The 12392-nt window shown below is 50.0% G+C and overlaps 2 annotated features.

Moving 5' to 3' along the window:
- Window positions 3906-4407: an enhancer, noted in NCBI's record as "H3K4me1 hESC enhancer chr9:126088537-126089038 (GRCh37/hg19 assembly coordinates)". NCBI's record gives its function as "activates a minimal SCP1, AML or CMV promoter by ChIP-STARR-seq in naive H9 embryonic stem cells {active_cell/tissue: H9 hESC(naive)}" and the evidence as "EXISTENCE:reporter gene assay evidence [ECO:0000049][PMID:30033119]".
- Window positions 4408-4907: an enhancer, noted in NCBI's record as "H3K4me1 hESC enhancer chr9:126089039-126089538 (GRCh37/hg19 assembly coordinates)". NCBI's record gives its function as "activates a minimal SCP1, AML or CMV promoter by ChIP-STARR-seq in primed H9 embryonic stem cells {active_cell/tissue: H9 hESC(primed)}" and the evidence as "EXISTENCE:reporter gene assay evidence [ECO:0000049][PMID:30033119]".

Genomic DNA, 12392 nt, shown 5'->3' on the forward strand with positions numbered 1-12392 from the left:
ATTTTTCTGTCCTAATGAACTCGGGTGACCATGTTTCTCAGTTGCCTGGGCTTGCACTGTGGTGCTGGCATTATTAATAACCAATCATTATTAATAGCACCCCTTTCACTTTCACACCTGTCTCAGTTTGCACTATGAATCATCCATGCTTACCTGGATTCTAGCACATGTGATGCCAAAGACCCTTGTGTCATTTAGGTCTGTCTTGTCAACACTCATCCCAGTGTCTGGCACAGATAGGATCGTTGGAGTGGAGTGGAATTGAGCTAATGGGAAGAAGGAGAGAAAGCAGGCAGAAGGGTGAGGTGGGGAGACCCAGTGGCCCCAGTCAGAGGAGTGGAATAGTCAATAACAACATCAGAGAAGAAACCAGGGCTTCCAATCAGGCCTGCAGATCACTCCTGGGAGGGGAGGGGCCGTGATGGAGACACCGATGGGGTAGAACATAAACAATCTGATGAGGAAGGCCCAGACCTTGCTGGCTCACTCATGGCATCGGAAAGTGAGAGATCTAAAAATAAAGCTGGCAGACAGAGAGGAAGTGGGCCCAGCTGAGGTGCAGCCCTGTGCCTCTGGCTGCCGGCTCCCTGTGGCCAGGCTCCGAGGGGGTCCTGGTGACAGGGCTGAAGCCTCAGGGTCTCTACACATGCAGTTCTCACTGCTTGGAATGTGCCTTTCCTGAGCCCTTCCCCCAGCAAACTCCTCTTCCTGAAGACTTCAGCTTAAAGGACCCTTAATAATCATTCTCTGACTCTCACCCCCTCCCGCAACCCACATCCTGGATAGATCAGTCCTCCCTGTTATACTCCCCGCGATCTTTCCTCCATGGTTCTGTCATTAGATCTTACTTACGTGATCATCTACCTAACGTCTACCGAACTCCTTCACACGACTTTGAGCAGAGGCTGAGAGCAGGGGCTTGAAATCCGATGCCTGGGCTCAAATTCTGCTCTGTTTACACAGGCTGTGTGACCTTGGGCATCTCTTTGTACCTCTCTGTGCCTCATCTGTAAAATCTTTCCTTGTCTAAAATGGAGATAACACTCTGGGCATGGTGGCTCATACCTGTAATCCCAGCACACTTTGGGAGGCCGAGGCGGACAGATCACTTGAGCCCAGGAGTTCAAGACCAGCCTGGGCAACCTGGTCAAACCCCATGTCTACGAAATATACAAAAACGAGCCAGACATGATGGCACATACCTGTGGTCCCAGCTACTCAGGAGGCTGAGGCTGGAGGATCACTTGAGCCTGGGAGGTCAGCACTGCAGTGAGCCATGATTGCATCACTTCACTCTAGCCTAGGCGACAGAGTGAGACCTAGTGTCAAAAAAAAAAATAAAATAAAATAAAAATGGAGACAATGCCAGCAACTGCTTGTCAGCATTGTTGTAAGGATAATGTGTGTTGAAGCACATGGGGTATTTAGAACCTGCCATCCCTGACACATGGCAGGCCCCTTTACTAGTGGCGTTCAGTATTGTTATCACCCGAGGCCAGGGTCAAATCTGTATTCTTACCTCACTTTGCAGCACCTAGCAAAGTGCCTGGCAAGCTCAGTAATGACTGCCGAATGAATGTGTCTTTATTTATGCACCACCTTGTTCCAAAAAAGACTTGAGGCTGTAAGATGACATATGTCATTGAGAGCATTGTGATTTTTTTTTTTAGACAGGGTCTCACTCTGTCACCCAGGCTGGAGTACAGTGGCATGATCATAGCTTACTTCAGCCTCAACCTCCTGGGTTCAAGCTATCCTCCCACCTCAGCCTCCTAGGTAGCCGGGACCACAGCCATGCGCCACCACATCCAGCTAGTTTTTAAATATTTTTATAGAGATGGGGTCCCGCTATGTTGCCCACGCTGGTCTTGAACTCTTGGGCTCAAGCCATCCACCCACCTCAGCCTCCCAAATTGTTGGGATTACAGGCGTGAGCCACAATGCCCCACTAGCACTGTGAATTGTAAAGCACATTCAAAAATCTAGTTGTTACCATCAATAGCCCTTGACTCTCCCCATGGATAGTCTTCCTAATGACAGTCTGCCCGGAGTGTCACACACCTGTGTGGTTGACTAGCTCCCTGCCTCCCAGAGTGTCTGTTTTTGTCTGGTGATAAGAAAAGTCTGGGTCTCAACTGCTCATGAGGCTGACGCAGGAGAATCGCTTGAACCTGGGAGGTTGTAACACTGCATCACAGCCTGGGCAACAGAGACTCTATCTCAAAAAAAAAAAAAAAAAAAAAAAAAAAAAGAGGAAAGAAAAGTCTGGGTCTTGCAGAACAGCAGAACGGAACCTAAACCTGCCTCAGGTAACTTCTGGTGGCCGGTCCCAGTTCTGCCCTCAGGGCTTCAGCCCTTTCAGCCCAGGACCTCCTCCAAGGGATTTGAGGACCAGGAAGCTCCAGTCTGATCTGTGAGCTGGGAAGGGGAGTGAGGGGCTGGGGCAGATATGTGCTTGGCCGCCCGGGGAGGTGCCCTGGCTGTCCACCCGCACCCAGGCCTCTGAGGGCAAGCTGGGGGTGTGAGGACAATGGAGCTGTGTTTTAGTTAAACCGTAGCTCTTGGTGAAATCCCAGGGAGCCTGAATAATTGACAGTGTGGTCAGCAGCTGACCGCTGACTTTCAGGCATGGTGGAAATCGATCTGGTCAACATTTACTGCCCTGGCCCTGGGAGGCCTGGGGGTCGGAGGTGAAAAGTATTGCCCCATCCTGAGTCCTAATCAAACGGTGTGGAGTTGGAGTTAGGTGGACTCACCTGTGTGACTGCGAGCTGCCCTTCTCTGAGCCTGTTTCCTTCTGCCTTCAATGTGGCTAGGAATCCGGTCCTCACGGGGAGACTGAATGGGAAAGAGCTGTGTGCATCGTAATGAGGGGAAGAGGATAAATCTGGTTTGGGATGTGTCTGAGTCTAAGGGCCCGTGGGGAAGCCTGGAGGTGAAGGTTCAGCCACTGGATAACTGGGTCTGGAGCTGGCGGGAAGCAGAAGGTTAGAAGTCCCATCTCTAAGTGGTCTCTGCAGCCACAAGAATGGATGAAGTTGTACAGCATGGACATAGAGCCAGGAGAGGACCCAGCACAGACACTGGGAGGCCACCCACTTCTAAGGTACAGTTGTGGCCCCAGGAAGGGGAGACACACAGAGGGACAGAGGAGCCACTGGGAAGGAACAATGTGGGTCAAGTCAGAATGTGGAAGGCGGCAGAAAGGTCAGGAAGAATCAAGACTGAAAAGGGTTGGCTGGACCCAGTCACAGGGAGGCTTCGCAGTGCACTCTGTGAGGGCAATTTCAGGAGAGTTGTTGGGACTGTGGGAGGAGAACCAGGTTTTCTCAATAGCAGGATTTCTAGGGGTGAGGAGACACGGGGAGCATACAGACACCCACGTCTTCACTTCCATGGATGACGTTCTGCATGGACCTCTGGCCATTTTGTGTTTTTGTTTTTGTTTTTGAAACAGAGTCTTGCTCTGTTGCCCAGGCTGGAGTGCAGCTGTCTGATCTCAGCTCACTGCAACGTCTGCCTCCCGGGTTCAAGCAATTCTACCTCAGTCTCCCGAGTAGCTCAGATTACAGGCACCTGCCACCACACCTGGCTTTTTTAAGTAGCAATGGAGTTTCACCATGTTGGTCAGGCTGGTCTCAAACTCCTGACCTCAGGTGATCTGCCCACCTCCCAAAGTGCTGGGATTACAGGCATGAGCCACCGTGCCCAACCCGAGCTCTGGCCATTTTTAGGAACACCCAGGCTTTAGACCTAGCTCAGCCACAAGTTGTAAAGTCATTTCCAGTCTGATAGTTAAGCCTTTTTTCAACCTAGTCTCAGCTGTTTTCTTTAGCCTCAATTACCATCCCTCCCCATCTTCCCCCACCATAGCCATCCAGAAACCTCCTCTCACCTTTGAATGTCACCTCCCACCCCAGCAGTTCCTGACATCCCCCCATGGAGACTTAATTCCTCTCTTCTCTGGACCTTGTACACTTTTTCCAATGCCTGTGTTTGTACAGTCACTTGTTCACAGATGTTAGCTGTACACCTACTATGTGTCTGGCTCTGTGCAGACTCTGCGATTCAGCAGAACAAGACAGGCAGTGGCAAACTCCATCTCTAACTGGGGCAAGAAGAGGGGAAATTAAGGAGGCAATAAATAACCATACTGCCAGGAGGGCAGGGCCACGGCCAGACCCCGGACGGATGGACGGACTGCGAATGCAGCCAGCTCCCTCCCCTCCCCACTCTCCTCTCTCCTCCCCACCTCTCCTCTCCCTGTCAGCATCAGCGTCCTTCTGCTACTCATTTGGCTTCCCCTACTTTGTGGAAAACAAGAGAGCTCTCAGCTCCAAAGGCCTCACCGGGGAGAGTATAACTGTTTCCCCCCAAGTTCCAGTTTAAAATGAAACCAAAAACAACTGCGGGGAAGGACCTGGTTGGCCTGGCTTGGGCCAGCAGCCCACTCCTTCTGAGCCAGTAGCTATGGCTGGAGGGTGAGGTCATGTGCCAGCTCCTGTAACATGAGGTCATATGGCAACATGAGGTCACGTGACAACTGCAGGGCCCACCTGCCTAGACAGGGTGGGGAGAGGAGCTGGTCTCAAAAAGGAGGAAGTGCTTTTGAGAAGGAATGGTGTGGGGAGGGTGGGTTGGCCCTCAAACCAGTAGGGATCTCACAAGGCCAGCGGGGTGCTTGTTGTGGAGCCTTTGGGAGGCTGCAGTCCCAAGCGATCCTTACCTTTTTGGTGCCCTCGACCCCTTTGGCATCGAGTGAAGCCTGTGGACCCTTTCTCAGGATTTTTTGTTTGTTTGTTTGTTTTGTTTTTGAGACAGAGTTTTGCTCTTGCTGCCCAGGCTGGAGTGCAGTAGCACGATCTTAGCTCACTGCAATCTCTGCCTCCCAGGTTCAAGCAATTCTCCTGCCTCAGCCTCCTGAGTAGCTGGGATTACAGGCAAGCACCACCATGCCCAGCTAATTTTTGTGTTTTTAGTAGAGACTGGGTTTCGCCATGTTGGCCAGTCTGGTCTTGAGTTCCTGACCTCAGGTGATCCACCTGCCTTGGCCTCCCAAAGTGCTGGGATTATAGGCATGAGCCACCACACCAAGCCTCTCAGGATCATATTTTCAAATGCATCAAATAAAATATCTAGCATCGCAGAGTAAACCAATTACATTGGTTCTGTCCACAGCCCCCTTGAGGACTCAATATTGAAGGAGTGTGAAAAGACAGGTTAATTAGAGATTTGCTCAGACATCTCCTGGAGGAAGGTGGTGGGAGCCGTGGCCTTTCCCTTGAGGGTGGAAGTTGGTGGACCCGTCTGGGTCTGGGGTGGCCCTGGGGAAGCTGGTAGTGAAGGGAAATGGGAGTGGGTTGACTGCTAAGACAAAGGTGACACCAGTCAGGGAGCTTGGCTGCTGGTGGCAAGCACAGACTCCAGCTAACCTGAAGGAGTGGTTTGTAAAAGTATCGGACTCCAGCTAACCTGAAGGAGTGGTTTGTAAAAGTATCGGGTAGCTCATGCAATTGACGGAGAAACTAGAGAAACAGGCTTGACGAGAACCCAGAGAGTTAAGATCTGCCAAGCTGCCACCTGGGAGCTGACTGCCGGCCAGCTGGTCACTGTGGCCCCATCTGACACCTCCAGCCATGGAGATGACGCCCACACAGCACGAGATGTCCTTCTATGGCGGCACCCTTTAAATGGCAGACTGACTCTGTGCCTCAATGTCACTCTACAGAGTCCTGGGAGGGCATGTCCAGCTGGCCACACTCTAGGCTGCACGTCCATATTCTAGTCACTGGAAGCACAGAAGATCTGTCCCAGGCAGCTTCTGTGGGGAGAGGCGGGGGGGGGTCCTTCCACTATCTTGGGATTCTCCTAATAGATGCTGGTCAACCAAAGGGGTGAATGTCTGATGGCTGGTTCTGAGGTGTGTGTGTATGTATACACAGAGAATATGTGTGTATGTGTACATCGGGCCATGTGTCATGGCTCACGCCTATAATCCAAGCCAGGAGTTCAAGACCAGCCTGGGCAATATGGTGAAATCCCATTTCTACTAAAAATACAAAAATTAGGTGTGGTGGTACATGCTTGTAATCCCAGCTACTTGGGTGCTGAGGCATGAGAATTGCTTGAACCTGGGAGGTGGAGGTTGCAGTGAGCCAAGATTGTGCCACTGCACTCCAGCCAGCCTGGGGGACAGAGTGAGAATGTCTTTAAAAAAAAAAAAAAAAAAAAGCGTACGTGAACTAAGCTATGTCCCCTCTTAAGTGCTGTTTTGTTGGGATTTCAGGCCTGTGGCATTATCTAATGACGTGAAACTCAGGATACAGGCTCCTAACTTTCCCCTCAAAAAGGAAATACTGCTGGGCTTGAGACAGAGAATAGGATGAATAGGACCTTTCAGGAAATAAACCAGACCTTCCAGCTTCTTCTCTGCAATCTTTTAGAAACCAGGACTGCTGGCTGGGCGTGGTGGCTCATGCCTGTAATCCCAACACTTTGGGAGGCTGAGGTGGACAGATCAGGAGGTCAGGAGTTCAAGACCAGCCTGGCCAACTTGGTGAAACCCCATCTCTACTAAAAATACAAAATTAGCCAGGCGTGGTGGTGGGTGCCTGTAATCCCAGCTACTCGGGAGGCTGAGGCAAGAGAATAGCTTGAACCCAGGAGGCAGAGGTTGCAGTGAGCAGAGATTGCACCACTGCACTCTAGCCTGGGTGACAGTGCGAGACTCTGTCTGAAAGAAAACAAACAAACAAAAAAAAACCAGGACTGCTGACTTCTTTTGGACTGACTTAGGAAGGACACTGGGAGTCTTGAACTTACCCTGGCATGGGACTTCTCTCTTGTGAGAAGTAAATGGACTTCTGGTGATCAATGGGACGAGGGTGCAAAAAGATGGTCCTTATTCTGAACCTCAAGCTGGGGACATGGGACATAAGTGACCTGTGTTTGCTGTTGCTCCCCCATCCCCATCTCACAACACTGGACTGTGAGCTCTGGCAGGGCAGGTCTGCTGTCTCATTCCTCTGCTCATGCATCTTCCAGCCCAGGCACCAAGACCTGGACAGTTGTTCACCAGCCTTTCTCTTCCTCCTGGGCACAGAGCCAGGTGACACCTCCCGGCTTCCCTGTGGTTAGGCATGACATGTGACTGAGCCTTGACTAGTGGGACATGGACGGAAGTGACATGGGCCACTTCTGGCCTGGACCATAAAAACCTTCAATGTGTAATCCTCCAAATTCTTCCCTCATCCAGACGAAAGCAGATGATTCTGAGTTCTAGGAAAAGGTGTCACCACAATAAGGAGGGAGGCTGGGTCCCTGAATCACGTAGTGGAAGGCTCATTGACCAACCAGGAACTCTGTCCTGTGAGCAAGAAAAGTCTATTGTGTTACTGGGGTGGGGGTGTTTATTAGAGCAGCTAAGGTGATACTAATACGCTCAGAAAATAGTTGCTGAACCGAGTTGTTCTGTGATCCTGGATAAAGCACTGCCCTGTCTGGGCCTCAGTTTCCTCAACTATATGAGAAGGCTGGACCAGGTAATCCCTAGGCACCCTTGCTCCTGGGAAAAAGGAGGACTTTAGCTACACACACACACACACACACACACACACACACACACACACACACGCACTCACACTCACCCTGTCACGCACACTCCTGCAGTGGGGCTGTTTCCATAGGGACAGGTCCTGAAATGCCTTTCTGGATACAATTTCTCACGAGCACCCAAACAAGGACAACGTTCCAGAACCTTGTTTCTAACAAATGTCGGTAAAACAAAAACACCCGCTACAGACCCATAAAATGTGAAGACCAACTCCAGTGATAAAATATGTTCGTTTCTATGTATTTTTATAGCTTTCCGGATAATAAAAGGAACCGTGTTCTAATCGGATGCGTTTGTTAAATCAGTGTGCAGTGCCTCTACCCTCCTCTTCATGCACAGAGAGAGCTGCAGGGAGACAGGAAGTAGCAGCTTTTGTCATTACCTTGGGAACCTTTGGGACCAAAGGCCATCCTTATTGCTGTTTTCCCAACTCCTCCAGGAATGGTGGGAAGCAGCGTGCATCAGGGAAGGTAGGAACAGCAGAAGTTGTCAAAGATGCTTCTTCCCTAGCTTCTAGGACAGTTTCTCTTTTTATTCTCATGGGGAGAGAGGTACCAGGGTTGCTGCAGAGATGGGCTGGGGCTTGGTCAGGTAGGCTCTGGGATCACGACGGGGGTTCACACATACGTGCCAGGCACTGTTCTAAATGCTTTGGATATATAATACTAACGTTAAAAAAATAACTTCAGCTTTTATTTTAGATACAGTAGGTACATGTGCAGGTTTGTTACATGGGTATATTGACTAGTCTAAACTTCATGATAACCTTTGTGTAGGCCCTCATTTTACAGAGAGGGAAACTGAGGCATAAGGAGGTTGACAACTTGGCCAAGGTCACACAGCCAGTGAGTAGAGAAGTTGGTATTCCCACGCAGCCAGCTTTGTCTCCAGATCTGCCTCTCTAGGCTAAGGCTAAGGGTTTTTGTTTGTTTGTTTGTTTGTTTTTTTGAGACAGAGTCTCACTCTGTCACCAAGGCTGGAGTGCAGTGGTGCAATCTCTGTTGCAGAGACCACAATCTCTGTCTCCTGGGTTCAAGTGATTCTCATGTCTCAATCTCCTAAGTAGCTAGGATTACAGGCACATGCCACCACGCCCAGCTAATTTTTAAAATATTTTTAGTAGAGATGGGGTTTCTCTATGTTGGGCAGACTCCGGACGTCAGGTGATCTGCCCACCTCAGCCTCCCAAAGTGTTGGGATTACAGGTGTGAGCCACCATGCCTGGCCTAAGAGAAGGGTTTTAATCCATATCCTAAAAGCAGAGGAAGAGAGCAGCAAAGTGAACACAGACTGTATACTGTGGTCTGTGATTCTGCCCCACAGGTGACATTGGGCGACATCTTGAGACATGTTTGGTTGTCACAAGTGGGGATGAGGTGCTACTGGCATCTGGTACATAGAGGCCAGGGATGCTACAAAACACCCTGCACTGCACACAACAGTTCCCAACACAAAGAATGCTCCAGCCCCAAATGTCAATAACCCAAGACTGAGAAACCCTGCTCAGAGGTCAGACGGGCTGCAGCCTCTGCCACTCTCCAGCTGTGTGGCCCTGGGCAACTGACTTCCCCTCTCTGAACCTCAATGACTTTAGGAGAACTTTGGGTAAGGCAATCATGAGACAAAGCCTGACACATAGGAAGTACCCAATAAATAACAACAATGACTGTTTTCCTCTGATTCTCCCCTGACCGTCGCCATCTCTCACCCTGCCCCAGGCCCTGCCACATTTCTTGACCAAAAAACAGAACCAAGCTCTTAACAGTGAACTTGGGAGAGTTATGAGTTTATATTCCCCTGCTCCCTTCTAGCTCTGCCGACGTCTTCCGCTCCTCTAATTACTTATTTAAAGACTATCGATTCCTTGGGCTGCTGCTGGGAGGCCTCGCAGAATTGCATGTCTCGCAAATAGCAAGAGAGCCGTGGCCTAGCGACTGGGGCCGCAGCCTGACATAACCAGGCAGGGGGTTATTTTCGCCCGGGATACTTGTGAAATATTCATGTGCTGATTTAAATACTGAGGATGTCAGAGCTGGAAAGGGCCAGAGAGATCATATCGGCAGAGTTTGCCCTCACTGGAGACTAGGCAGCTAGATGGGGTGGGGAGGGTGCCTGGCAGAGATGGGCACTGGCAGAAGCAGGTTCAAGATGGATACCAAGGCCTCAGACTCAGTGCGTTGTGACCTTGGGCAGGTCGCTCGCCCTTTCTGGGCCATTGATCCCTCATCTGTAATGAAAGGGAGTTGTGAGGCTGAAATGGGATGGATATGTAAGAATAACTCAGTATAGAGTGGGCCTGCAAAATGTAATTGCATTTGAAGTCAGCAAGCCTGTCTGAGCCTGGATTTCCTCCTCTGGAAACTTCCTGGGGCTGATCAAGTTATATAAGATGACAGATGTGTGAACACTTTATACCAAGCAAAGTGATGGCTGACAAATGTTAAGTGTGTTTAATTAGCATGTGTGAGTGCCCACTATGTCCCAGGTGTTGTGCTAAGTGCTTAAAAAAACAGGCAATAGCTTTCTGAAACTCCCAACATGCATGGCGGAAGGTATCGTTATCTGAGTTCCAGTGGTGTGCTGGTAAACTGCTGGGGGAAGGTGAGGGGGGATCCCTGATGTGTAATGTTTGCCAATTTCCTTGGTGTAAATACTCCCACTATGGTTGATTTCAAGCTACCAATATGATATCACTGAACACAGAATTGGGAAGAATCTGCACCAATGGATCTCTGTCTTACAGAGGAGGAAACTGAGGTCCAAAGAAATAGGTTGAGTGCCTTGCCCCAGATAATTGGCTGAACCAGGTCAATCTCCCCCTAAATCTCACCACTTAACTACCTCCTAGGGTTGAGTCAAATGGGGTCGCCGAGCCTCAGAGATGGGAGTGACTTGGCCAAGGTCACACCTCATGATGGTCTAGAACTAGGACAGGGCCACACCTCCTTTCTCCCAGTCCAGTGTTCTTCCCATCAAGGGCTCAGGCCAATGTGGGGGCCACACTTGCCCTCCCCTCCTACCCCAAGCTTGCTCAGGAAGGCAACAGAACCTCACTTTACAAAGCGCCAACCCTAGGCTGGGCCCTGTGCCAGATAATTACATACGACATTCTCTCATTGATTATTCCCAGCCGACCTGTGAGGCAGGAATTCTGATTGCTAATTGATGGAGGAGGAAGCCCAGGCTCAGATTGGTGAAGTGACTTTCCCAAGGCTACAGAGCCAGGACGTTGTAAAATTCAAAACCACATCTACAGTCACTCCAAAGCCCACATGCTTTCCTCTCCAGCATTCAGCCGGGCCCTCATCCAGCCCACAGACTGCCTGACTCATGGAGGGCTTTAGATGGAAAGCCCGCAGGCATTCATAGACCCATTTGTTAAAAAACAAAACAAAACAAAACAAAAAGTACCTTTCTCTGCCTCAGTGATTTTTTTTCTTTTTCTTTATTCTTTCTTTTTTGAGATGGAATCTTGCTTTGTCATCCAGGCTGGAGTGCAATGGCACAATCTCGGCTCACTGCAACCTCCGCCTCCTGGCTTCAAGCAATTCTCCTGCCTCAGCCTCCTGTGTAGCTGGGATTACAGGCACGTACCACCACACCCAGCTAATTTTTGTGTTTTTAGTAGAGGCAGGGTTTCACCATGTTGGCCAGGCTGGTCTCAAACTCCTGACCTCAGGTGATCCACCTGCCTCAGCCTCCCAAAGTGCTGGGATTATAGGCATGAGCCACCACGCCTGGCCGTCAGTGATATAATTTTGAATCAGCTATGATTTTTAAACAAATCAATTATCAGGCCCCACACCAGACCATTTGAATCAGGATCTCGGGGGAACCTGACCTCCAAGTGGCTCTGGTGTTCCAAAGCTTCCCAGGGGCTTCTGATGTGCAGCTGGTTTGGGGAACCACTGTCCTGTGTCTTAGTCACTCTTGGTGACAATTGCTGATGGGAAAGCATCAGACCTGAGGGTGAAGAAGGATCCCCAAGTGTTAATAGGCACATGAACCTTGAAAAGGCCAAGACTGTATTGGGCAGGTGGTTATTTCTGAGGTCTGAAATGGACACACATCAGTATCAGCCTCTTCCTGACTGCAGCGGGGACCAAATCTGTCCCCTTGCCACAAAACTGACCTGAGAGCTGAGGGCACTGGACAACCACATGATTCTCCCCCAGCTCAAGAGCGTCTTTCCCTGTCGTATATTAATTTACTCACCGCGTGTTTTAGATCTGCCTCTTGGGGGCCAGATATTGCACTGGGTGTTGGGGAAGCAACAGCGAACAAGGCACGTAGCCACATCCCTCAAGGGGTATACAGACCCATGGTTGTAACTGGACGAAGATGACTATGTTCACCACAATTCCTGGGAAGAGAGGCTGCAGTGTAGACCCCTCTCCCGTTAATGAAATCTATAGCAGAGGATGTATTGTTCATGCCTGGCTTGTGACAGGCTCAAGAAGGAGTTGAGTTTCACATTGAGGTTGACATATTGCAGATAGAGATATGAGTAGAGGAGAGTGAGCTGTGGAAAAGGGATCTCAGGGGGGTTTGCAGAAATAGCAGGGGTGGCAGGTTCTGGCTGGGTCCAGAAGCTTTTAATCTATTACTTGAAAGCATGAGGAAACACCTGAAGGAGACGTGTGTGATATGATGGAATACAATGAGACTGTCAAACTAGCCTGGGGAGGTGGGGGAATCATCGTGACCATTCATTGAGCTGTGATTGTGTGCCAGGTTTTGTGCCACACATGCCATATGCATCATGTCTCAAGTCCTTGTA

Source organism: Homo sapiens, chromosome 9 (assembly GCF_000001405.40).
Source record: "Homo sapiens chromosome 9, GRCh38.p14 Primary Assembly".
Lineage (NCBI taxonomy): Eukaryota > Metazoa > Chordata > Mammalia > Primates > Hominidae > Homo > Homo sapiens.